This window comes from Homo sapiens, chromosome 10 (genome assembly GCF_000001405.40).
Source record: "Homo sapiens chromosome 10, GRCh38.p14 Primary Assembly".
Classification (NCBI taxonomy): domain Eukaryota; kingdom Metazoa; phylum Chordata; class Mammalia; order Primates; family Hominidae; genus Homo; species Homo sapiens.
The window spans coordinates 86963398-86988478 of record NC_000010.11 but is presented as its reverse complement, the minus strand read 5'-3'; the positions used below and the strand labels follow the sequence as shown (position 1 = coordinate 86988478).

General features: G+C 48.6%; 2 protein-coding genes and 2 long non-coding RNA genes across 12 annotated transcripts in view, besides 13 other annotated features; 1 reads left to right on the top strand and 3 right to left on the bottom strand.

Moving 5' to 3' along the window:
• Nucleotides 1-18143, bottom strand: part of AGAP11 (ArfGAP with GTPase domain, ankyrin repeat and PH domain 11) — a 39891-nt gene extending 21748 nt beyond the window's left edge. Inside the window, exons 1-2 of the long non-coding RNA NR_171046.1 lie at nt 17564-18143; nt 4538-4625 (exon numbers count right to left, since the gene is read on the bottom strand). This is a non-coding gene — a long non-coding RNA (ArfGAP with GTPase domain, ankyrin repeat and PH domain 11). The remainder of the gene's footprint in view (nt 1-4537; nt 4626-17563) is intronic.
• LOC124902474 (uncharacterized) lies at nt 13664-17074 on the bottom strand. The gene is made up of 3 exons (XM_047426123.1): nt 16915-17074; nt 15222-15366; nt 13664-14310 (listed from the first exon to the last, which is right to left on the bottom strand). The coding sequence occupies exons 1-3, from the start codon at nt 17072-17074 to the stop codon at nt 14199-14201; spliced, it is 417 nt and encodes a 138-aa protein (XP_047282079.1). The 3' UTR covers nt 13664-14198.
• Nucleotides 16510-17709: an enhancer, noted in NCBI's record as "P300/CBP strongly-dependent group 1 enhancer chr10:88730527-88731726 (GRCh37/hg19 assembly coordinates)". NCBI's record gives its function as "activates an origin of replication core promoter dependent on BRD2, BRD4, P300/CBP, MED14 and CDK7 cofactors, with strong dependence on P300/CBP, by STARR-seq in HCT116 cells {active_cell/tissue: HCT116}" and the evidence as "EXISTENCE:reporter gene assay evidence [ECO:0000049][PMID:35650434]".
• Nucleotides 16510-18297: a biological region, named in NCBI's record as "P300/CBP strongly-dependent group 1 enhancer GRCh37_chr10:88730527-88731726".
• Nucleotides 16762-17311: a silencer, noted in NCBI's record as "silent region_2575". NCBI's record gives its function as "represses an Ori minimal core promoter by ATAC-STARR-seq in GM12878 lymphoblastoid cells {active_cell/tissue: GM12878}" and the evidence as "EXISTENCE:reporter gene assay evidence [ECO:0000049][PMID:35858748]".
• On the top strand, nt 17239-23192 carry ADIRF-AS1 (ADIRF antisense RNA 1). Of its 9 annotated transcripts, none has more exons than NR_170178.1 (4): nt 17239-17422; nt 17906-17950; nt 18517-19423; nt 22242-23192. It is a non-coding gene; the product is annotated as an ADIRF antisense RNA 1 (long non-coding RNA). The 9 variants fall into 9 exon arrangements; NR_170179.1 differs by having other exon boundaries at nt 17872-17950; nt 18539-19437; NR_170177.1 differs by having other exon boundaries at nt 17872-17950; nt 18520-19437; nt 22376-23192.
• Nucleotides 17546-18297: an enhancer, noted in NCBI's record as "H3K27ac-H3K4me1 hESC enhancer chr10:88729939-88730690 (GRCh37/hg19 assembly coordinates)". NCBI's record gives its function as "activates a minimal SCP1, AML or CMV promoter by ChIP-STARR-seq in naive H9 embryonic stem cells {active_cell/tissue: H9 hESC(naive)}" and the evidence as "EXISTENCE:reporter gene assay evidence [ECO:0000049][PMID:30033119]".
• Nucleotides 17564-19997, bottom strand: ADIRF (adipogenesis regulatory factor). The gene is made up of 3 exons (NM_006829.3): nt 19874-19997; nt 18217-18279; nt 17564-18003 (listed from the first exon to the last, which is right to left on the bottom strand). Exons 1-3 carry the CDS (start codon nt 19932-19934, stop codon nt 17897-17899), a joined length of 231 nt encoding a protein of 76 aa, NP_006820.1. The 5' UTR covers nt 19935-19997; the 3' UTR covers nt 17564-17896.
• Nucleotides 18298-19051: an enhancer, noted in NCBI's record as "H3K27ac-H3K4me1 hESC enhancer chr10:88729185-88729938 (GRCh37/hg19 assembly coordinates)". NCBI's record gives its function as "activates a minimal SCP1, AML or CMV promoter by ChIP-STARR-seq in naive H9 embryonic stem cells {active_cell/tissue: H9 hESC(naive)}" and the evidence as "EXISTENCE:reporter gene assay evidence [ECO:0000049][PMID:30033119]".
• Nucleotides 18298-19187: a biological region, named in NCBI's record as "Sharpr-MPRA regulatory region 6517".
• Nucleotides 18893-19187: a silencer, noted in NCBI's record as "tiled region #6517; K562 Repressive non-DNase unmatched - State 23:Low". NCBI's record gives its function as "represses a minimal TATA promoter and a strong SV40 promoter by Sharpr-MPRA in K562 cells {active_cell/tissue: K562}" and the evidence as "EXISTENCE:reporter gene assay evidence [ECO:0000049][PMID:27701403]".
• Nucleotides 20558-21310: an enhancer, noted in NCBI's record as "H3K4me1 hESC enhancer chr10:88726926-88727678 (GRCh37/hg19 assembly coordinates)". NCBI's record gives its function as "activates a minimal SCP1, AML or CMV promoter by ChIP-STARR-seq in naive H9 embryonic stem cells {active_cell/tissue: H9 hESC(naive)}" and the evidence as "EXISTENCE:reporter gene assay evidence [ECO:0000049][PMID:30033119]".
• Nucleotides 21291-21470: an enhancer, noted in NCBI's record as "active region_3701". NCBI's record gives its function as "activates an Ori minimal core promoter by ATAC-STARR-seq in GM12878 lymphoblastoid cells {active_cell/tissue: GM12878}" and the evidence as "EXISTENCE:reporter gene assay evidence [ECO:0000049][PMID:35858748]".
• Nucleotides 21291-22064: a biological region, named in NCBI's record as "H3K4me1 hESC enhancer GRCh37_chr10:88726172-88726925".
• Nucleotides 21311-22064: an enhancer, noted in NCBI's record as "H3K4me1 hESC enhancer chr10:88726172-88726925 (GRCh37/hg19 assembly coordinates)". NCBI's record gives its function as "activates a minimal SCP1, AML or CMV promoter by ChIP-STARR-seq in naive H9 embryonic stem cells {active_cell/tissue: H9 hESC(naive)}" and the evidence as "EXISTENCE:reporter gene assay evidence [ECO:0000049][PMID:30033119]".
• Nucleotides 22321-22640: an enhancer, noted in NCBI's record as "active region_3700". NCBI's record gives its function as "activates an Ori minimal core promoter by ATAC-STARR-seq in GM12878 lymphoblastoid cells {active_cell/tissue: GM12878}" and the evidence as "EXISTENCE:reporter gene assay evidence [ECO:0000049][PMID:35858748]".
• Nucleotides 22711-22770: an enhancer, noted in NCBI's record as "active region_3699". NCBI's record gives its function as "activates an Ori minimal core promoter by ATAC-STARR-seq in GM12878 lymphoblastoid cells {active_cell/tissue: GM12878}" and the evidence as "EXISTENCE:reporter gene assay evidence [ECO:0000049][PMID:35858748]".

The window sequence follows — 25081 nt, the reverse complement described above, 5'->3', positions numbered from 1 at the left end:
AGCTTCCTGCACAGCAGAAGAAACAATCAACAAAGAGAAAATCCACAAAATGGGGAAACATATTTGCAAACTATCCATTTGATAAGGGATTAATAACCAGAATATATAAAAAGCTCAAACAACTGTATAGAGAAAAATCTAATAATCTGATTTTAAAATGGGCAAAAGATCTTAATAGACGTTTCTCAAAAGAAAAAATACAAAAGGCTAACAGACTTAGGAAAAGGTGATCAACATCACTGATTATCAGAGAAATGCAAATCAGAACTATGAGGAAATATCATCTCATCCCAGTTAAAATGGCTTTTATTCAAAAGACAGGCAATAACAAATGCTGGTGAGGATATGGAAAAAAAGCAAACCCTTGCATACTGTTGGTGGGAATGTAAATTAGTGCAACCACTATGGAGAACAATTTGGAGGTTCCTCAAAAAACTAAAAATAGAGCTACCATAGGATCCAGAAATCTCATTGTTAGACATATACATGAAAAAGAAAATCAATATATCAAAGACATAGCTGCACTCCTATGTTTACTGCATTACTAATTCACAATATCCAAGATGTGGAAGCAACCTAAGTGTCCATCAACAGATGAATGAACAAAGAAAATGTGCATATATACAATGGAGTACTATTCAGCCATAACAGAGAATGAGATTCTGTCATTAGTGACAACACAGAACGGTGCTGGAGGATATTAAGTTAAATAAGCCAGCCACAGAAAGATAAACTTTGCACATTCACACTCATTTTGGGGAGCTAAACATTAAAACAAACTCACAAAGATAGAGTAGAATGGTTGTTACTTGAGGCTGGGAAATATAGTTGGTGGGGGGAAATGAGGATAGTAAATAGGTACAAAATATAGTTACAATAAATAAGATCTACTAATTGGTAGCATAACAGGGTAACTATAGTCAGCAATAGTTTTTTGTACATTTTAAAATAACTGCATATAACTGAATTATTTATAATACAGAGAAATGATAAATGTTTGAGATAATGGATATCCCATTTACCTTGATGTGATTATTATGCATTATATGTTTGTATCAAAATATCTCATGTCCCCCATAAATATGTATACCTACTATGTACCCGTAAAAACTAAAAAGAACTATAAACACTGATGTCTGGGGATCCCCTAATACAATAGCGGGTTCTGGCTGATCATCCCACAGGGAAGCCACTCGGCAGCCACACAGTTCCCCATACACACACACCGCTAGTAATCAGCTTTGTTAGTGTATAAACCTTAAACTATGTGCAGACAATATCACAAGTCATAAGGGAAATGGAAAGCAAGACCACAAGGAGGTACAACTTCACACCCATTAAAATGGCTATTATAATGCAAACAAACAAAAGATGGAACATAACAAGTGTTGACAAGGATATGGAGAAAACGAAACCTTTGTGCATTACTAATAGTAGTGTAAAGTGGTGGTCTGCTCTAGAGAGCAGCATGGTGGTTCCTCAAAAAGTTGAACACAGAATTATGGTATGACCCAGTAATTCCATTTTGAGGTATATAGCCCCAAGAATTAAATGCAGGGACCCAAAAAGATATTTGTATAGCAATGTTCACAGCAGCGTTACTCACAGTAGCTGGAAGGTGGAAGCAACACCATACCCACCGGTAGATGAATAGATAAACAAATGTGATATATGCACGCAATGGAATATTATTAGAATATTATTCCTTTTTAAAGGAAGGAGATTCTGACGCATTCCACAATGTGGATGAACAATGAAACCTTGAATACCTTATGCTACGGGAAATAAGCCAAACACAAAAAGACAATTCTGTATGATTCCACTTATCTGAGGTACCTAAGATAGGCAAAGTCATAGAGGCAGAAAGTAGAATGGTGGTTAACAGGGACTGGAAGACGACTGGAGTTAGGAATTACTGTTTAACAGGTACAGAGCTTCACATGAAAAAGTTGTAGAATGGAATGGTGGAAATCATTGCAAAACATTATGAATACAGTTAAAGCAACTGAATTGTACACTTAAAATAGTTAATATGATACATTTTATGTTACATGTATTTTGCCCAGTGAAAAAATAAAAATATATAAGCACACAGCAAATGATCACCAGGCCTTTGAAGAAAGCCTATAAAATAAAATTAAGAAACCAAAACACCAGGCGGCAATGGGGAGAATCGAAGAGGTGGGCAGAGAAAACAGAATGCAAGGGCAAGGTCAAGAGAACACTTTTGACAACTGAAAAGTGAGAGCATATGAAAATGTCGCCAGAGGCCGGGCGCGGTGGCTCACGCTTGTAATCCCAGCACTTTGGGAGGCCGAGGCGGGCAGATCACGAGGTCAGGAGATCGAGACCATCCTGGCTAACATGGTGAAACCCCGTCTCTACTAAAAATACAAAAAAATTAGCCGGGCGTGATGGCGGGCGCCTGTAGTCCCAGCTACTCGGGAGGCTGAGGCAGGAGAATGGCGTGAACCCTGGAGGCGGAGCTTGCAGTGAGCCGAGATTGCGCCACTGTACTCCCGCCTGGGCCACAGAGCGAGACTTCGTCTCAAAAAAAAAAAAAAAAAAAAAAAAAGAAAATGTCGCCAGAAAGATAGAAAATCAAGGTGAATTAGATACCAGAAAATTAAACACAAAATACAAAAAATGAGAGAGGAAGATGACAAAAATTAGATCAACTCAAGAGGTTCAATATCTAACAAGAGACTCAGAAGAAACAGGGAAGCTGGAGGGGAAGAAAATTATTATAGAAACAACAGAAAGACATTCCCAAGAATTAACAAGAAAAACAGACATGTACCACTACGGGTTCATTAAATGCACAAATTAAAAAAAAAAAAAAGCCTACCCCATAATTGCAACAGTATATGCTAAGGATATGCAGAAAATTTTAAATGCTTCTACAGGGGGTAAAGCCAGAGTAGGGCAGGATGGGGGAGAGACAGGTCACACACATAAACATATTATTTTGAAATCTAAAAAGAGATTTTTTTAAAAGTAAAAATTGTTGAAGTTGGCTGCATCTGGAGAGTAAGTAGGAAGTACTGAATCAAGAGCAGTCTGTTTTTTGTGAAGTCTTATACTACCATTGGACTTCTAAAACCATGTTTCTTTAAATTTTATCCTGGTTCTCTTTCAAAGTAATGTATACACAACTTGTATTTACATGTAAAAATATGCAGGTGAGAAATGCTAATATAAAATTATTCCAAAGCCTTTTCTAAAGTGTCAAGAAGTGCTAGGATTTACTTAGCAGAAATCACCTGAGGATGAATTCCTTGTCAATTCCGGGAAGTGACTGCCAGAGAAAGGGAAAACAGAGTGGTCACAAAACTGTGATCAAAAGACAGTCTGACACATGAAAAAATGCTCATCATCACTGGCCATCAGAGAAATGCAAATCAAAACCACAATGAGATACCATCTCACACCAGTTAGAATGGCAATCATTAAAAAGTCAGGAAACAGCAGGTGCTGGAGAGGATGTGGAGAAATAGGAACACTCTTACACTGTTGGTGGGACTGTAAACTAGTTCAATCATTGTGGAAGACAGTGTGGCGATTCCTCAAGGATCTAGAACTGGAAATACCATTTGACCCAGCCATCCTACTACTGGGTATATACCCAAAGGATTATAAATCATGCTGCTATAAAGACACATGCACACGTATGTTTACTGCGGCACTATTCACAATAGCAAAGACTTGGAACCAACCCAGATGTCCATCAATGATAGACTGGATTAAAAAAATGTGGCACATATACACCATGGAATACTATGCAGCCATAAAAAGGATGAGTTCATGTCCTTTGTAGGGACATGGATGAAGCTGGAAACCATCATTCTGAGCAAACTATCGCAAGGAGAGAAAAACCAAACACCTCATGTTCTCACTCATAGGTGGGAACTGAACAAAGAACACTTGGACACAGGATGGAGAACACCAGGGCCTGTCGTGGGGTGGGTGAGGGGGAGGGATAGCATTAGGAGATATACCTAATGTAAATGATGAGTTAATGGGTGCAGCACACCAACATGGCACATGTATACATATGTAACAAACCTGCACGTTGTATACATGTAACCTACAACTTAAAGTATAATAAATAAATAAATACAGTTAATGAGTTAGATCTATGATACCAAATTAAATTCTTGACCTTAGTATTACAAATATTTTATGACAGTTTTAAGAAAGCTTAGAAAAATCTGCTAGCATATATTAAAAAAAAAGTTGGATCAAAACATACACTAAGAAATTAATAATTGCTAGATAGAAAACACAAATGTGCAGATTCCCTGGGATTTCTCATTAGGTTAATATTTGCAAAAGTAAATCATGTTTTAACTGTTCAGTTTCCTTTGGGACCCATTTAGTTTTAAAAACATTCAATATGAACGAAATACCTAAATCTATTATAAATATTCTATCAAAACATCAGAAAGTCAAGATAATTTGACTCAATAGCTAAAAATAAACTCATTTTGTAGAAAGAATGCAAGTAAAATGTTCAATAAGTGATAAATACACTTACCACAGGTTATTTGAGCAATGCTATACTTCTTGTAGTTCATGGCAGTCTATGTAAGAGTCCTAGTCTTGTCAGAAAACAGGTATTTTACCTAAATAAAATAAACAAAAATGTAGTAGTCTGTTGTTTTTGACTCCATCTTGACTTGGATTAAGAAGGCGTATTCTGAAATAGCACAGAAAAACATGTGTATCTCCTGGATCACTATCACTATCACAATTAAGATGCATCTGAAAACAGCATGGGTCTGCTACAGATTATGTCACTTTCCAAGATGCAAAGTTTTACAGACTTAATACACAAAGCTCTCAACTCACAAAGGTGAAAAGATAACTGACTGAGTAGGTCAACAAGCAAACCATCTCAACAAGATTAAATGAATGCAAAACAGATGCACTCCAAATGCAAATGTGATGCGCAGATTATGTTACCTCTGGCCATACGTGCTAAAGAAGAGGGAGAGAACTCAATGCCCCGGAACAAGAAAGAAGTCCAGGCCAGGTTCTGGGCATTAACTAGTCATGTGGACTCTGAACACTCACCTCATCCTTCAGGGCCTCAATTTCCACATCTATGAAATAAAGGGTCTGGCCAAGAGACACATAACAGCCTTCTACATGTAACTGGAGAAATTGTGTCATGGATAGGTGAGGGAGGGTAATTAATGGAATTGCCTCTAGAGAGCGAATACTTAACAGAATTGCCTCCAGTTTCTCCATGGCTTTCTAAAGAGGGGTCAAGACTTGCTGGATGCCAGATGTCTTCCAGGGATCCCAGAGAATTGGTCTAGGGAGGCAGTGCTTTACTGTATTATAGAAGAGGAATTAATCACACTAATTGCTTACTCTGTACTTTTGCTTAACGATACAATATAAACAAATACAATGAGAATTAATTTTAAAGCAATCAAAAGGCCTTCAAGTTATCAAAGCTCCTGAAGATTCAAACATTACATCCATATATAGAATTATTACACTAGGGGCAATTAACGATTTGATTTATAGATGTTTTATATAGGTTTGACATGCAACAAATCTAGGGGTATAAAAATCAGTAAAATCTGCCTTCTAATAAACAGTGATTTCTGCCTTTTCTTAAAAAATAGTTATTGTATCAAAATAGTAAAAAATGAACATTTTAAAATAAAAAATGGCTGGGCGTGGTGGCTCATGCCTGTAATCCCAGCACTTTGGGAGGCCAAGGCAGGCGGATCATGAGGTCAGCAGCTTGAGACCAGCCTGGCTAATATGGTGAAACACCATCTCTACTAAAAATACAAAAATTAGCCGGGTGTGGTGGCGGATGCCTGCAGTCTCAGCTACTCGGGAGGCTGACGCAAAAGAATCACTTGAACCCAGGAGGCAGAGGTTGCAGTGAGCCAAGATGGCACCACTGCACTCCAGCCTGGGCGACAGAGCGAGACTCTGTCTCAAAAAAAAACATAAATAAATAAAAATAAAAAATAAAAAATTATCAAGATTGTCATTCTGCCTACTGAATTTTAACTTATCCTTAAAGTTCAAAAAAAAAAAAAAACTTCTTTCTCATGCAAACTTTCCCCATATCCCTAATTAGGATGAAGTATTGAAGCATCCTGGGTGATTCCTGAACACTTTGAATCCTTCAATTATTCAGGTCCAGTTTAATGGCACCTGATAACAATTACACACTGAGAACTGCGCTAAACTTGACAAAGGCGACCAAAGATCTTATACAGGGGCACACCTGTACCCTCACGTCGGCTCCAAAGTCTCCAGAGGGAAATGGACAGGACATGATGAATCAGCTCTCTTTTTACTGTATTATGCTTGGAAAGATTGTTATGGAAACATAGAAGACAGATAAATCAACTTTACCTGGAAAACTGGAAAAAGGTTCAAACCGGAGGCAAATTTAGATCAGTATGTACCAAGAACTCACTGATTCTTACAGGAGTAGGATATTACCAGACAGACAAGTGAAATGACAAAGCCATTCTAGAAATAGAGAAGGTAAGCAAAAGAACCGAGAAGTGGAAGTTGAAGGCCAGCTCGGGGTGCTATGTGACCAGAGCCTAGTCAGCAGTGGGAAGATTTGTACTCTATGCTAAGAACGTTCTCTGTAATGACAATCCACCCTGTTGCACTAAGAATTTAAGAGCATTTATATGCATATATACAATTCAAGGAAAGATAAAGAGAAAAATTTGCTATCACCTCTGTGTAAATTCGGAAAATGGTATCAAAGGAACAGCTTCACCTACATTTCTGTGTCTAGAAAGTTTTATTTTATTTAAAAATGTAGTCTACAAACTTGAGCCTCAATTTTTGGCAATAAACTCAAAAATGATACATAAACCATCACAGAATTCACTTTGTCCTTGCAGGAAAGAAAAAAGAAGAAAACAAACCTCCACACGAGAGGAAGTCTAAAGAATTCCCCAAACCTCCATGATTTTGCAGGAGACAAGATAAGGGTAATCACCTGCAGCACCTGGACCCATCTAGATAAAATAAATTTACTGAGGCTCCAGAGGAAGGTCTTCAGGACTCAGACCTTAGTTATAGATTAGAAGTTAATCAAAGGAAAGACGTTTAATTGATTCACAGTTCCACATGGCTGGGGAGGCCTCAGGAAACTTACAATCATGGTGGAAGGGGAAGCAAACACGTCCTTCACATGGCAGCAGGAGAGAGAAGTGCAGAATGAAGAGGGAAAAGGCCCCCTATAAAACCATCAGATCTCAGGAGAACTCACTCACTATCACGAGAACAGCATGTGGGAACCACTCCCATGATGTAATCACGTCCCACAGGTCCCTCCCCCAACACATGGGGATTACAATTCAAAATGACATTTGAGTGCGGACACAGAGCCAGACCATGTTACAGAGCCAGAAGAGCTGAGTAGTGGGCGCTTAGTAAATGTTCATTAAACCAAATCCCTGCACAAGGATGGCTTCATAAAGGTGCCACCTGTGCAGTGGCAAAAGCCCCACACTCAGAGGGGACCTGAACTTGGTTTAATGCTCTGTTGTCACTGCCTTGAAATTCTTAACAATTTTTGAATGACAGACTCCACATTTTCAGTTCGCATTGGGTCCTGCAAATTATATACCTGGTCCTGCCCCTGAAACAAAGATATGGTTTGTTCATGTAGGGGCTCCCTCAACCCCTCCCTGCCTGTCTCACTCCAAGATGCCCTAAGTGTAGGGGAACACAGAGCTAGGAGAAGGCGGTATCTGATGATGATCTTGGAGGTCCCACCTGATCATGGCTGGCGATGCATGTGTGTGGGTGGGAGAATTTGGCTGCTCTCTCTTGGCAGCCTCCATCCCATGCACAAAGCCTGCACTTTGCCTGTCTTTCTCCCTATGTCCCCCTACCTGACTCTCAGACCAGGAGTGTGGATTGGGGGGCCACTGGGCCCAGTGCTCCTGGTCCCAGCTGTAGTTCCCTGTTGATTGGGGTGATTTGGCTCCTCTGACTACTCCTACCCCATCCCCACTAGGACAAGAGGAATTGGTGAAGGGGACAGGGTAGGAGGCTTAATTAGCAGCCAGGGCTAGGCAGCAGGCAGTGGGGCAAAGATCAGGCTGACTTTTCCTGCTACAGATCTGCTCTCTGCTCATGGACTGGCTTAGACTGTGGCTTGGCTATTTTAGGAATATTCTTAACCCTTCCTGAGTTACTGCCGTCATCAGACTTCTCTCCCAGGGCACAGAGCAGCAGACTGTTCCCCTCCCTGTCCCCTCCTCCCCAGTCCCTGCGTTCCTCCCTGGCAGCTGAGAAGGTCAGAGTTTTCTCAGGGGTGGGGCAAGTTGACTTCTGCCAAGGAAAACTCCCGGGTCCCTGAGCTCCCTTCTTTGTCCTGCCCTGTGCCTTCTTCTTCACTTCATCATAGCTCTGGACTCAGCAAAGTGGCAGAATGGGCATGACCTCAGCCCTTCTTCTCATCTTATAAAATTGGAACCTCCCAGCCTGACCAACATGGTGAAATCCCATCTCTACTAAAAATACAAAAATTAGCCTGGCATGGTGGTGTGTGCCTGTAATCCCAGCTACCCGGGAGACTGAGGCAGGAGAATTGCTTGAACCCGGGAGTCAGAGGTTGCACTAAGCCAAGATAGCGCCATTGCACTCTAGCCTAGGTGACAGAGCGAGACTCTGTCTCAAAAACTAAACAAACAAAAAATTGGAACCTCTCATCTGAGGGAAAACAGCTGACCTGCATCCCAAAAGTAAGATGGGAAGATGCAGTCCTGGCTTCCAACCTCTGACAGAGGAGCCCCTGCCTGCCTGGCTTTGATGCCCTATTAGGGGCAAGTTTCCAGAAGCGTGTCCCATACAGCGGCCAGAGCCCCTCAATGTCCTGGGGGTCCCTCTGCCTGGTTTTTCCTCCACTCCTGTGGAGATGGGGTTTCACCATATTGCCCAAGCTGGTCTTCAATTCTTGAGCTCAAGTGATCCGCCCACTTCAGGCTTCCCAAAGTGCTGGGATTATAGGCATGAGTCACTGTGCCCAGCTATATTTCTGCATTTATTAGTACAAAAATTAAAAATCCTGAGTTTATATTGATACCTCAGATTCCAATACAACACCACATGGGGTACTGGAAGAGGGTTCCCTGGTTTTTATTTTAATTTCTTTATCCAATAGTGACAAACCCAGTTCTTATTATTTATGATACACTTACTTATGCATTCAATTCTACTATATAAAGTTGTCTCAGAATTGCTTACCCACAATCCTATGAGAAAGTATACATTTACTGACTAGATTACAGAATGTATGGAGAGTGTTTGCTGCATTTAACCCTACAGAATCCAGTCAACATACTGATTTTCAAGGTTACTTGAATTTTTTCTTTTGAGTGTGGTTATTTTCATTTGTAGTAGAGTTAGGTTCACTTTTTAGTGTTTGTATTCCATTTTGGGTACTTCCCTCCCCTATATTCTGGTTGGTTTTAATTGCTTTGTCTATATTTTGAGTATAAGAACATTACTATGGTTCTGAGAACCACAAAAAAAGATATATTCAGATAAGTGTCACTCTCTTCTTATCCCTGTTAGCCTGTTCCCATTCGCTCCCTCTTTCCACCCCTTTGCCACCTGCCCCCTATAGGTAACCAATCCCCCAATCCCTTTATTTCCTAGTTTATCCTTCTTGCACTTTTTTTTTTTAAGGCAGAGTCTTGCTCTGTCACCTAGGCTGCAGTGCAGTGACACAATCTTGACTCACTGCAACCTCTCCCTCCTAGGTTCAAGCGATTCTCATGCCTTAGCCTCCTGAGTAGCTGGGATTATAGGCACGTGCCACCACACCTGGCTTATTTTTGTATTTTTAGTAGAGACAGTATTTTGTTATGTTGGCCAGGCTGGTCTGAAACTCCTGGCCTCAAGTGACCCGCCCACCTCAGCAAGTGCTAGGATTACAGGCATTAGCCACTGTGACTGGCCTTCCTGCACTTTCTACAAATAAACAGAGACATTGTATTTTCTTTAATCCTTTTTTTTTTTCTTTGGAGATGGATTCTCACTCTGTCACCCAGGCTGGAGTGCAGTGGCACGGTCTCAGCTCACTGCAACCTCCGCCTCCTGGGTTCAAGCGATTCTCCTGCCTCAGCCTCCCAAGTAGCTGGGACAACAGGTGTGTGCCATCACGCCCGGCTAATTTTTGTATTTTTAGTAGAGATGGAGTTTCACCATGTTGACCAGGCTGGTCTCCAACTCCTGACTTCGTGATCTGCCTGCCTCGGCCTCCGAAAGTGCTGGGATTACAGGCATAAGCCGCTGTGCCCGGCCCATCCTCTCTTTCTTACAGAAAGACAGCATACCATAGATATATACTTCTCCCCTTCCCTTTTTTCTAGTTAAGAGTAAAAACATACTATTTTTAAATATGGAAAAAGAATAGTCAACATTCCAACATGAATTTTAGGAAGAAAAGAAGACACTTAATAAACAACAGCTGTTATGAAGGAAGACTGTAAAGCAGTTGCCAGAACTCTGAGAGGAGATGGCCAGACAGCAAGAGCAGGCAGAAGAGAAATATATCTCAGAAATGAATAGAAGAAAAAAGACTAAACAAACCATGGCAGATAAGAAGCACAAGAAGGTAGATACCACCGTAGATGCCTATAGAACAGAAATGGAAAAAGTAAAGAAAAAAAGGAATGAAAAAGATACACAGTATTTGGGAGACAACAGTAGATATGGAAAGTAGGAAGAAAAGAACTTCATACTCACACTTGGAATTCCCAAAGAAGAAAGCTGAGCAATGGAACAGAGCAAATATTTTAAAATACAATTATGCAGGAGCTGGGCACAGTGGTGCATGCCTATAGTCCTAGCTACTCCAGAGGTTGAGGCAGGAGGATCACTTGAGCCCAGGAGTTCGAGGCCATAGTGTGCTATGTTCACACCTGTGAACAGCCACTGCACTCCTGCCTGGGCAACACAGGGAGACCTCATCTCTAAAAAAAAAAAAAAGACAAAAGATAAGTGTTGGTGAGAATGTGGAGAAAAGGGAACCCTTGTACACTATTAGTGGGAATGCAAATTGATATAGCCATTATGAAAAACACCATGGAAGGCCAGGCGTGGTGGCTCACATCTGTAATCTCAGCACTTTGGGAGGCCGAGACGGGCAGATCACGAGGTCAGGAGTTCAAGACCAGTCTGGCCAACATAGTGAAACCCCATCTCTACTAAAAAAAAAAAAAAAAATTAGCGGGTGTGGTGGTGTGTGCCTGTCATCCCGGCTACTCGGGAGGCTGAGGCAGGAGAATTGCGTGAACCCAGGAGGCAGAGGTTGCAGTGGGCTGAGATCGTGCCATTGCACTCCAGCCTGGGCAACAGTGCAAGACCTGGTCTAAAAAAAGAAAGAAGGAAAGAAAGAAAGAAAAACACTATGGGGATTCCTCAAAAAATTAAATATAGAGCTAACTTATGATCCAACAATCTGTCTTCTGGGTATATATGTATATGTATACATACACCACACATACACAGGTACATACACACACACACACACACACACATATATATACACACACACATATATATACACACACATATATATACACACACATATATACACACACACACACATACATATATACTTTTTTTTTTTTTTTGAGATAGGATCTCACTCTGCCACTCAGGCTGGAGTGCAGTAGCGCAATCATGGCTCACTGCAGCCTTCAACTCCTGGGCTCAAGGGATCCTCCCACTTCAGCCTTCTTAAGTAGCTGGGACTACAGGCGTGCACCACCACACCTGGATACTTTTCCTATTTTTTGTAGAGATGGGGTATCACTGTCACCCAGTCTGATCTAAAACTCCCGAGCTCAAGCTATCCTCCCACCTCAGCCTCCCAAAGTGCTGGGATTACAGGCCTGAGCTACCACGCCCAGCCTTGAATTAGTATTCAAAGGGCAAACTGCACACCAGGCAACAATGAACCAGAGCCATAATCATTGAGACAAACTCTAGAAAAATTATTGTACTTTAAACTTAAAGAAAGAAAACAAGCCAGAAATATCATGTTGCTTATTAGAAATTCCTGCAGGAGTCTGGACACAGTGGCTCACACCCGTAATCCCAGTGCTGTGGGGAGGCTGAGGTGGGAGGATCACTTGAGCTCAGGAGTTTGACATCAGCCTGGACAACATAGTGAGACTCCACCTCTACAAAAAAAAATTTGTTTTAATTAGCTGAGCATGGTGGCACACACCTGTAATCCCAGCTACTTGGGAGGCTGAGGTAGGAGGATTGCTTGAGGCCAGGAGTTTGAGGCTGCAGGGAGCCATGATCAGGCCACTGCACTCCAATCTGGGTGACAGAGCCAGACCCTCCCTGTCTCTACAAAAAAAAATTCCAGTAGGGAGCTGGTGCAGCGGCTCACACCTGTAATCCCAGCCCTTTGTTAGGCCAAGGTGGGAGGACTGCTTGAGGCCAAGAGTTTGAGACCAGCCTGGGGAACATAGTGAGACCCCCATCTCAAAATAAATAATAAATTAAAATTAAAAATAAAAAAAGAAATTTCAGTGTGCATCAGACATGTAGGGTCTGCTCAACCTTCTGTGCCAGAAGGCAGTTGCAGCCACACCTAGAAGACACTGAAGCTGAAGAGGGAGCCACAAACCTCAAACCCAGCCAGGGATAAAGTCTAAAGGCTACAGACTAACAATACCAACCAAACATTTAAAAATCAGAATACTGTTCACATAAGCCCTTCTTTTTATAAAATTTTTATTTTAACTTTTTTACCGTTTTAAAAATAGAAAATGTCATACACAAAAATAGAATATAATGGGCCGGGCACGGTGGCTCCCGACTGTAATCCCAGCACTTCAGGAGGCTGAGGTGGGAGGATCACCTGAGGTCAGGAGTTCGAGACCAGTCTGGCCAACATAGTGAAACCCTGTCTGTACTAAAAATACAAAAATTAGCCAGGCATGGTGGCACATGCCTGCAATCCCAGCTACAGGCATGAGCTGAGACAGGAGGCTGAGACAGGAGAATCGCCTGAACCCAGGAGACGGAGGCTGCAGTGAGCCGACATCATGCCAGTGCACTCCAGCCTGGGCAACAGAGGAAGACTCTGTCTCAAAAAAATAAATAAATAAATAAATAAATATATATATATATATAAATAAAATGAACCCTCATGGACCCATTACCCAGTTATAGAAATTATTAACTCAGATATCAGATGTCTTATCTCTGTAAACATTTATCATCTTTAACTATTTCATTCTTGAGAAGACTCTGGGCTGGGTGCGGTGGCTCACACCTGTACTTCCAGCACTTTGGGAGGCCAAGGCTGATGGATCACCTAAGATCAGGTATTTGAGACCAGCCTGGCCAAAATGGTGAAACCCCATCTCTACTAAAAATACAAAAATTAGCCAGGCGTGGTGGCAGGCACCTGTAATCCCAGCTATTCCGGAAGCTGAGGCAGAAGAACTGCTTGAACCTGGGAGGTGGAGGTTGCAGTGAGCGGACACTGTGCCACTGCACTCCTGCCTGGGTAACAGGAGTGATACTCTGTCTCAAAAAAAAAAGAGAGAGAGAGAGAGAGAGAGAAGACTCTGCAGGACTAATTCTAACCAACCAAGAGATAGCAGAAAATATTCAGCAGAAGGAATGGCAAACAGCTTTTAATATCTTCAATTGCAGATCCAAGACAAAAACAAAGGTGTGGTTCAGGGCTGAGGAATGGAATGCAACTCTACGTGTTTTCACAATGTAGAAATGGGACAAGTAACATTTTTTAAAAAGGCGGCGGAGGGAGAGAAGGGGAGAGGAGGTGAAAGTGGAAGAATCTGCACCCTGCCTCATGTGTAGTCTGATGGGGGTCAAAGCTGAGAACTCCAGCGGTAGACGTTTGGGAGATTACATACAAAGAAGCTCATCCTACGGACTGAAAATGGGGATGAAGAAGAAGAGGGAGGAAGGAACGCCATCCAGAGAAAATGGTTTAAGGGAACACCTCCACCTGAAAATGCAGTCATTTGTAAGTGGAACCACAATGTAATGTTAGTGACTGTGTGTTTGGCTAGATGGGGAACTGGAATTTGGAGAATTAGGAATTATGTGTGGCATTGCTAATGGAAGAATTGATCTCTGGAGGACTGACTGACACCCAATAGGTGTAGTGTGGCCACAATCCTTCCTCCTCAGCCAGTCTGGGCTGTACTTGCTCCATGAACCTGGTGGAGACAGGCCTGGGCAGTATAAGCTCCCAAGGGCTCCTCTGGTGAAGCTGTCCTCACAGGGTTAACAAGCATTCTACACAGAAATATAGTTATAATTAAGCATTAACAGTTATAATTAAAAATTAACAGTTATAATTAAGCATTAATGAGGCTGTGCTTTAACTAAATTCCTTCTATAGAACTTCCCGTGGCACTGTATACTGACCATCTGCATCCCCACTGTTCCCACAGTTCGGCTTTCTGATGTTAGAATCATAGGCTTTTGTTTAGGAATTCCTTAAAACGTTTTTTTCGTTTGTTTTTTCAGTTTTTTTTTTTCCGAGACAGAGTCTCACTCTGTCGCCCAGGCTGGAGTGCAGCGGCACCATCTTGGCTCAGCAACCTCCACCTCCCAGGTTCAAGCAATTCTCCTGCCTCAGCCTCCCAAGTAACTGGGATTACAGGCGCACGCCACCAAACCCGACTAATTTTTGTATTTTTAGTAGAGACAGGGTTTCACTATGTGGCCAGGCTGGTCTCGAACTCCTAACGTCAGATGATCCGCCCACCTTGGCCTTCAGAGTACTGGGAAAACAGGAATGAGCCACCGCATCCAGCCTAAAATGTTTTTCAGATTCCAAATTCCAGTGAAACAAGTGACCCCAACCAGTTTGAACAGCCCAGAAGAACATAATCAGCATGAGAATACAGTTTTTTCATCTCCCTGGCCCCATGACTTCACTCCGCACTCTTCAACAAATCAACAATCTCCACACTTTGGCCTGCTCTAAAACTCTTAAGAACCCTAACCCCAAACTTCTCGGAGAGAGATTTGAGGTTTTCTCCCATCTTGTCTGGCAGCCCTGCGACTAAACCTCTTTCTTCTGCTGCAACCCGGTGTTTCGGGTGTATGGACTTGCCCTGCCATCAGGCAAGGGACCTATTACAGAGACACTGGCTCTGTGCCCTCTGTGTCCCAGACATGGTTCAAAAGGCAAGTCCCACCTGGCCCTGCCCTCCAGGGCTCCTAGTGTCGGGGGAGCAGAGGCACACAGGAACAGGCAATTGCACAGCGCCACCGGAGCACCAGCTCCATGGGGCTGGGGCAATGTGGAAGGGGCTGCATTGCAGAGATGGTTCCATGGTAAACCTGAAAATGAGAACTCACTGTCATCCATCAGGAGAACAAAAGGATGGTCCTCCATGCAATCATTTAGCCAGTGCTGCCTGAGCACCGCAGAAGACACAGAGCATGCACTAAAAAGGGACTGGTTACAGCCCCATGAACCACCACTATGGAGAAGCACACATGAAGGCTCATTGTGACTCTAAAAAGGAGGTACAGGGGGTGTGAGAATGTGTCACCAGGGGCCTGATGCATATTGTGTGTGTGTGTGTGTGTGTGTGTGTGTGTCGGCACACCCAAGGCCGCTGAGACCTGACGTTTGGAAGAGCAATAGGCAAGGGTGATTTATGGAGAGTATGCCAGGCAGAAAATGCCGCAGGTGTGAAGATACCGAGGCAGCAGGAGCATGATGGGAAGGTCAAGGTGGCTGAGATGGAAGGGAGGGGGTGTTGTGGGAACAGGCTGGAGGTCTGGGAGGCTCTGCCCTCATCAGCAGGTGGGCTTTTCCTTAGACTTGTTCCTCAGACTTGTTCCTCCTGTGGTTCCAAGTGGCTGGTTCTAGGGTTCCTTTCCAGCCACAAGGTGTCCAGAGGAAGATGAAGGGCGGCTTTTTTTTTTTTTTCTGAGACAGGGTCTCACTCTGTTGCCCAGACTGAGTGCAGCGGTCCTCGACCTCCCGGTCTCAAGTCATTCTCCCGCCTCAGCCTCCCAAAGTGCTGGGATTACAGGCTGAGCCACCATGCCCCGCCTTCAAGACAAGAAAAGCCTTTTCTAGAAGACTCCTGGCCTCAGGCCTGATCTCTCTCCTTGGCCGCACCTGGGTCGCACTTAAGGCGATCACTCACAAGGAGAACAAGTGAAAAGTCCCTTGGGATTCATCCCTGAGTCATAGGGGAATGATGCACACCAGAAGGATGCTGGGCTCTGCCAGTCCAGCCCCACCAGCCTCCTGGAGTGGCCCTGAGGCCGGCTCTCCAGACCCTAGGACCTGCTCCTGGAGGCAGGGGCTCCTGGAAGCGCCCCTGACACTGCTCCGGGTGTCTCTTCAAGGACTTTCCCACATTCTACAAAGAAACCTTTTGGGGACAGTCAGCAACATGTAACCGATAGTGGAACCAGGGCAGCCCTGGGTTAAGGGTGGTAGACACGTGCCCCGCGAGGGAGATCTCAGACTGGAGAAGGGAACGGCCTCCTAGGCAGACCTGTACTGCAGCATCTGGACTGGCAGCCAGGTTGGGGACTTCGTCCCCTGCTGGGAGGCCGGGGAAGGCAGGGAGCGCGCCTTGAGTCCGCTGACTAAATCGCCTCAGAACTGGGAAGCACCGCGTAGTCGGTACCTTTCAACAGAAACGCAGAGGCCACTGGCGCGCAGGAGGAGGCGACTGCAGGTGGAGGTAGTACCGGGGTAAAGACATGGAGCGGGTGGACGGGAACCGCTAGGGGCCCGCTGGGGCGTGAGGGGCGCGGGGAGGAAAGGGCCGCAGCAGCCCACGCCCCGCGCCAGGGCCAGGCCTCATCCGGCGCTCAACCAGTGCCACGTTGAGTCACCTACTGGCAAGGCATACACCGTACCGGGGCCACACGCGTGGACACGTGCCGGGGGGGTGCTGGGAACACCAGTCCATCCGGAACCCACTAGACAAAACCTTCCAGGGCCGGAGGTTACCGGTTTGTCCCGAAAGGAAGTGGTGTGGAAGGGAGGGGTCTCCCGCACGCGAGCGCGCACGTGCATGCCCCCCCCACAACCGTGCTTCGTTCTCACGTGCACGGCCCCGTGCCCCGAAGCCCCTCCCCGGGGAGTGGCGGGGCGGGACCCCGCCGGGCGGCAGCGCCCCACTCAACAAAGCTTCCCGCGGGCCCTGCCCCATGACTCACCGCTGGGTGGGGCGGGCACGCAGGCAACCCGCGGGCCGAGACGGGGTAGTGAGGGCCGGAAGCCCGGCTCCCGACTCCGCTTCGTCCCCACAACCTCCGGCCGCCTGAAGTCCTGAGGGGCCGTGGCCCTGGGTCGTCTCCCCTGTTCCCAGCCTCCAGTCGCAGCTGGCGGAGAGAAGTTCCCGAGGCCCCCCCGACTTGCAAGGTCCCTTGCCCCGCCCAGAGCTGAGCCTTCCGAGGATCTGAGGACCGAGTCCAGCCCAGCTCCCAGGAGGGGCCGGGATCCTGGGGCAGGGAATAAGGGGCAGGGGCTGGCTCTAAAGTCGGGCGGGAGAGGGGCACTAACCGAGATGGGGGCTGAGCCTCCGGTCTGGGAGCTTCGGGAGGCGCGTGGCGGGATGGAAAACATTCCTGAGACCGTTGGATTGGATTTCCGAATTTGGGAGGCTAGGACTCCGGCTACGGTGGCTCTGCTCTTGGGATGAGAGGACTGGGCCCAGCTTGCGAGGAATCATGAAGTGGACACAGGGTGGGAACGTGAATTTTAATGAGGGGGCAGACCGAGGAGGTGGTGGCTGCCCGGAGATCAGGGCCAGGCTGTGCTAGATGGCGCCTGGAAGGGGGGTCACCCAAGTCTCCCTGCTGTCATTTCAGGAGGCCGACCCAAGTCTCCCTGCTGTCATTTCAGGAGGCCGAATTTTTTCCCAATCCCAGAGAAGGTGTCAGAGGCCTGGTTAGCAGTCTTGTCGATGGTTTCCTGGGTGGTCTTGGCCAGCTGGTCCATGGCTGGGGAAGGGCGGGAGAGAGGGCAGGTCAGGCAGGGCCCGGGAACCACAGTGCCTGTAGGCTTAGCCTGGCCTGGGTCTCCCGGGGGACCTGCTTGGGGCATTGTGGACAGAGGGCTCTGCAGAGGAGAGGATGTGCCTGGGCCCCAGCCGGGATGGGGCGGGGAGTGGGAGGTGTGCTGGGGTTGCCCGCCTCCCTCCAGCCCCACCAGACCTTTCTGCCCCGCCTCTGTGGCCTGGTCCACCACTTGCTGAGCTGCCGCTCCGGCCGCTGACACTGGAACAGAGAGATGTGGCTTTTAGCCCCTGTTGAGGCACCACCGACTACAGGTGCCCCACCATTGCCATGCCTCTGTGTCCTCCAGAGTATTCGGTGGTACAGGTCCAAGGGATGGATGCCATGGAGATAAAGTCCCTGGCCCAGGGCCCCCCAGCCCGAGGGGCAGGAGACCTTTCCATGCCTCTGGGATGTTTTTGTTTATTTCTAACTCTGAGCTCCTTCTCTGTGGGGGAGGAGCTTCCCTTTCCATCTCCAGGGCTACTGAGAAAATGTTGGACAGAGGAAGGAAGGCAGGGCAGGGCCAGGCTGCAGCTAGCATCTGGACTGTTGGCTAATGCTGGTGATGGCGCAGAAGACCCTTGCCCCCTTTTACAGCTTCTCCCCTAGAAGCCTGGCCCAGATGCCTGAATTCCCACCTTTCATGCACTTAGCCCTGGGGCTTGCAGTTTTGCCAGGTCCTTACTGCCTCCTCCCTCCTGTGGCCTGCCCGGAGGGGCACACAAGCAAAGCCAGTGCCTCTGTGGACAGGCAGCTTAAGACATTAGGAGACAAATGAAGGAAGGAGGCAAAACTTCCAAGGCCGGACTATCTCCTCTGGACCAGAGTTTCGGCCTGCTGGGAATGGAGTCACCAGCCCCGGGGGGGCTGACAGGTGGCTCCCGCCTACAGAGCTGTAACTCATCCCTGCTGCTGAACAGGAAAGGGCCTGCCTTACCCAGATCCCATCCTCCGGAAAGGGTTAGTCAGGCAAGTGTGCTGAGAGGCCCCTGGGAACCTCGTCTCGATTAACCCATCAGAAAGCAGCCCATCCTTTGCACCCAGCTCTCAGATGGAAAAGTGAAGCCCAGAAGGAAGGGACCTGACACGGAGGCTTCCTTGGTAGCATTTCAGTCTCAAGGGAAGAACTGTGGGCCTCCCCTGGAGCACTGGTGAAGTAAGGGGTTGGTTTGGATATTGTCTCCTGACTGGGATATGGGCAGGACTGACAGGGAGCTGGAGTCCTAACGAAGCCTGGGCTAGGTGCAGGAAGAACCAACCCAGTGGTCTCCTGACATCTCCCACGCCCCCACCGCAGCTGGGTCACCTCCAGAATACGGAGGAGAGAGCTGGAGGTGGAGGAACTAAGGACCTTCTTTGCCAGGTGGGGACTTAAAGGTAAGGCGACGATTACTTTTCGGCGATGGGGGTGGGATGGAAACAAAGCCCTTTGAGGTCTGGGGCAGCCTCTGGTGGCGCGCGCGGGTTTAAGTGGTGGCGGGCCGCGCCCGATCCCTGTCCTGGACCTTCACCCTCTCCTGAGGGCCTGGGCGGGCCGCCCAGCGCCAGCATGGCCTCCTTGGAGGGGCTCCCGCAGTGCCCGCAGCGCAGCTCCGGCTCCTCCGGAGCCTCTGTTCCGCTGCCTCCCTGCGGGCACCATCTGTCTGCTCGCCGGGGTGGGCGTTCTGCCTGCCCCCTGCGTCTCAGTGGAGGACCGAGCCTTCCGAGCCAAGCTGCCGGTCCAGGAACTTGCGGACCGCGCCGACCCGCTGCTTCTGCCTGCGCATCCACGCAGGTGCCCCTGCCTGAGCCCTAGGTCGCGCGCTATCCTCACCGGCTTCCTGGGCGGTCCCCTCCACCTGTTGCTTCAGGTCCTGCAAGCCCTTGCTTGCCATGGCTTCGGGGTATCTGTGGAGTCGTCAAGAGCAGCTGGAGCGACGTTGGATCCTGCCCAGAGTGGCGATGCCAAGCGCCAGCTCCGGTTTTTAAGGCGCCCCAGGGCTGGCCTGCCCCGCGTAGGGGAGAGGGCGCGGGGCGGTTCCCGTCATACAGGCTCCGGGGAGTGGCCGGGCCCTGCTCCAGAGTCCGCAGGGCAGGGAGCACATCCTGGCCTAAGACGGGCCGCGGTGGGAAAGGGGCAGACCGAACCAGGGACCGAAGAGGTGCCAGGACAGGGGTCCAGAGAGGAGCTGGAGGCAGGAGAAGGGCGCACACCACCTCCCAGCTCATCAGCCCCAGCCCTCCCTTTCTGATCCTGGGCGTGAGCGCTGGGTCAGCTCCAGGGCAGGAGCTCAGGGCTGGTGTTGACCTTAATGACAGCAGTGGTCTTTTACTGAGCATTTGTCTTGTGCCAGGTGCTGCCTAACGCTCTGCAGTCTCTTGTATAATCTTTACAACCACCTCCTGAAGTGGGTATTTTTGTTGATAGCATCAGTGTATAGGAGGAAACTGAGGCAGTGAGGTCGGTCTCACCCAAACGCATGTGGCAGGGACTTGGATCCTCGAATCTGCCTAGGTGCCTGTAAACCCTAGGGCTCTGGCATCATCGGAGCCCCCAGCCCCAAACAGCTGCAGGGGCACTGCTGACTGGCTCTCTGCCTGTAGCCAGAGACCCAGTGGATGCAGCCGGAGAGGGCCTGGTAAATCTTTCCCCTGAGAGGGCGAGATACAGGTGTGTGCACTTGCAGACCATGCAACCCCAAGGGGGAGAGGGCAGTGTGCCTGTGCAGCCCAGGCAAGGAGATTGCCGTCTGTCACCGAAGCCTTAGGAAGTTGGGCAGGAAGCATGGCTCAGGGAGGGCAGGAATAAGCTTGGGCCTCTCAGGTCACCTTTCCTGAGATGGGGCAGGCAAGGCGCTAGAGAGTATGACTTGTGGCTGTTAGGAGGGGACTTAGGGACCTGGGCCTGAGTGGAGAAGATCATCCTTGGGTGCAGCAAAACAGCTTGCAAGATACATTCCCCTGGCACACAAGGGGTGTAGGTCAGGCCCCACCCAGCTGGGTATACTCCCACTCCAGAGTAGGCCTTCAGGACCTGGAGGCCAGTGCACACCCACCCTGCCTTTCTGGGTCTCTCTACCGCTTCCTGTCCGGGGCTGTTTCTTGCACCTCTGCTGGTGTCTCCCCTATTCTGGAGCGCTGGGAAGCCCCTGCCACACAGGCTTGGTCTGCTGGCACATACCCTGCTTCTAGTGCTGCGGGGTCAGCCCCTAGAGGGAGTTGTTTGGAAGTGCACCTGTACACACACACACACACACACACACACACACACACACACACACACACACACGGTATGGATTAATGGAGATGAGGTCAACCCTGGGCAAAGGGAAGAGGCAGGTGATGAGATTAGGTGGAGGAAGGGGGAGGGAGCAGGTCTCAGGCAAAACAAAGCGGCAGCAACAGTCCTCCCAGCCCCCCGCCCCTCCTCTCCCAGAGCGAGGCCTTGCCCTGGGAGCGGCCATATGGATGCCTTGGGGACTCTGGGGAGCCCATCTCAGCCATGCCCTGCCTGGCTGGCCACAGCCCTGCCAGCCCTCCTGAAATCCCACCGGTAGTGCCCAATAGCCAGGCAGGCCTTCGAGTGTTCCAGTTTATCACAGGCTGGTGGTGCCACTGGGCTCCAGGCCCCATGGGCAATGAGCTGTGAGCTGGACAGGAAGGGAGCAGCCTCTGTGGGAAGAGACAGCCAGCCCCCAGCAGATGGTGGTAGAGAGAGCTCCACGTGGCCCTAGCGGCAGGCACTACAGTCAAACCTCTTGGGTTCAGATATTCTTAGAGCAAGCCCCTCACTTCTCTGAGCCTCAACATCCCCATCACATCACAGCGTCTCCCCAAAGTGTGTGTGTGAAGATTAAATTGGCTGAAGGGTGCCCAGGACTCAGCAGTGGACCTTGTGAGAGCGTGCAGGGCACCAGGGCTTCTCAGACAAGGAGAGGCAGAAGGAGGGAGCGCATTACCGCATTACCGTTTCCCCCACCCCCGCCCCAGTTTGCTGTGGTGTCACTTTTTTTTTTCCCTTTTTTTGTTTTTGGAGACAGAGTTTTGCTCTTGTTGCCCAGGCTGGAGTGCAATGGCGGGATCTTGGCTCACTGCAACCTCTGCCTTCCAGGTTCAAGCAGTTCTGCCTCAGCTTCCTGAGTAGCTGAGATTACAGGCATGAGCCACCACCCCCAGCTAATTTGTGATTTCGCTTTCTGCAGTTTCAGTTACTCATTGTTGGGGCTCAGAAACCAATACCCCGAAATATAGTGGTGTGACATTCTGAACTGAAGAAGCCTTAAGGTCTCTCCGACCAGACTCCCACAGGCCCCCCAACCCTTTGTCTCTTCCAAAGCATACAGTGAAGTTGTTCTCTGAAGTTCCTCATCTGCCTTAAGTCTGGACCCACCAAAGAAGAAAACAATGACCACTGGTCCCTTCCCGGAGTTTTCTCTGACTGAACTGCTGTCACAGGAAGAAAGACTGAAGCCTGCTCACATACCTGGACAGATTTTGCAAACCGTTGTCTGCTCTGTGAGCCCAACAGACTTTGTCCCAGGCCACTGTATGTTCTTCAAGCCCACTGAATTCCCCTGAAAATCATTTACTAGCCCCCTGAAATTACCCACACTTCCCCATTGCTCATCTGTACCCCATTTCGTGGTGGGGCAGTCACTCTGATTTCCCCTTGCATGCTAATGAATGTGTATTCCATTTCTATTCTGCTTTCATGAGCTGACTTTTCAGTGAACCTTCAGAGGGTAAAGGGGAAGTTTTCCCTTGGCCCCTGCACCGCAATTGGTAAGGTCCAAAATGTTAAATGGAAAATTCCAGAAATAGCTGGTCGTGATGGCTCCTGCCTGTAATCCCAGCACTTTGGGAGGCCGAGGTAGGTGGATAGCTTGAAGTCAGGAGTTCGAGACCAGCCTGGCCAACATGGTGAAACCCTGTCTGTACTAAAAGTACCAAAATTAGCTGGGCGTGGTGGCGCACGCCTGTAGTCCCTGCTACTTGGGAGGCTGAGGCAGGAGAATCACTTGAACCTGGGAGGCAGAGGTTGCAGTGAGCAGAGATCGCACCACCACTCCAGCCTGGATGACAGAGTAAGACTCCGTCTCAAAAAAAAAAAAAAAAGAAAATTCTAGAAATAAACAATTCATGTTTTAAATAACTTTCATTACAGTATATTGTTATAATTGTTCCGTTTTCTTACTGGTTATTGTTAGTCTATTACTGTGCCTAATGTATAAACTTCATCATAGGGAGGCACATGTGTACGTGTAGGAAGATACATATGTAGGCTTTGGTACTATCTGGGGTTGCAGGCAGCTGGAAACATCTTGAGTGTATCCTGGTGGATAAGGGGAGTCAACCGTGCTCCTGCAGGGAGGTCAGAAGCAGCCTCACAGGGTGCAGAGCACATGAGGTTTCAAAGGCAAAGAGCACTGCCAGTGCCCATGGCTGGGAAGGGGCTTTCTGGTGATGTTTGTCATTTGAGTCCAGGAACAAGCCCTGAGTGTATGTGAGAGGGGGTTGTAGGGGGGCTGTGGTAGGGGCAGCAGGGACCCCTCTGGGCTCCTCCAGCAGAGGCAGAGGGCCCTGAAACCTGGGGCAGGTTGTCGCTGGGAGCCGGGCATAGGTGCCCTCTCCCTCACCCCCATCACCTGACCAGCCTTGCTCCTCCTTGCTTTCTCTCACAGCCCAGGGGACTCTCGGGCACACCCAGGCCCCAGGTGGCCTCCTCCTGGGTTCATACAGGCCTGCTTAATGTGTACATGTCTGGGCTGGGGAGCAGGAACAGCCCTGACTGGCCTGAGCTGCTTCCAGACCCTTCATGCCTGCCCATGGCAGTGCTTGGGGATGTGGAGACCAGCAGCCCCCTGCTCCGTTCTGCCTCCTCAGTGGATGCCCATGGCCAGACAACAGATACAGCCTGGCTCCGCTGTGTCTGACTGGGCTCCCAGCCTCCTGGGCTGCCCTTGAATCCACTGCAGAGGCTGGATGGGGAGGCGGTGTGGACAGGGCAGTGTCTGAAGTCACATGTGGACGGACTCAAGCTCTGGCTCCAACACCCAGGCCTGAAGGCCTGGGGCAAGGCACTGAGATGCTTTGAGCCCAAACCATCTGAGTATCAAAGGGGAAGCCAGGATCCCCAGGGAACCCTGGTCTGAACAAGCCCGCCCGGCATGCAAGGCTTTAAAACAACCCAGGACACGCTGGCCAGTGGCCTACATGATGGGTGGTTTGCGTCGTGCCCGGCAGGCTTGTTCAGAGTGGGCTGGGCAAACAGCCTTTCATGTAGGCCACTGGCCAGCAAGCCCTGGGTTGTTTTGAAACTTTGGGTTGGGGGCAATCCACTGTAAGCACCTTGGGGTCCATGCAGCCATAGCAGGGCTGGGGAGCCACCTGGGCTTCTGCCCAGTCCTGTGCGTCTCAGCAAAACCTGGATCTACAGCTCCAACCTGAGAGGTTTATTCTGAGGATTAAATAAGGTGAAGTGCTCAGAACAGTGCCCAGTCAACGCCTGTGAGGACCTCAGCAGCTGTTGCTTTTTACTATTTTTCTGTCAAGGTGCGGCTTCGTGCGTCTCTGCTGTTGTGTTTTTGGTGGCAACTGGCAGGCTTCTGGGTGCAGGAGGGGTGCAAGGGGTACCCAGCTCCAGGTCCAGCGGGGAGCATGAGACTGGCTGGGGCCAGGTGGGAGGCGCCGCAGGGTCCACCTTCTGTCTCTCCTGTGGGATGCCCTTCATCCTCACTAGGTTTAGACTTCTCCATCTTTGAAAGTCACCATCTGCCCCAGGGAGGATGTTAGGTGGCCCTGTTCCTCTTGCGACACTGGAGCCCAGAACTCACATGGAGGGAAGACCCAGGAGCCTATCTTCACCTCCTGCTGACAGTGGGTTCCTCAGGGACTCAGAGCAGGCAGGCGGGGGCTACCTTGAGGCTGAGCTAAGCTATCCCCGTGGATGGGACTGTGAGTCCTGTCGAATGTCTTGGGGAGCCGAAGGCAGTGCTGCCTCCTCCATGTTAAAGGCAATGGGTGGGTTGGGGGTGTTCCTGAA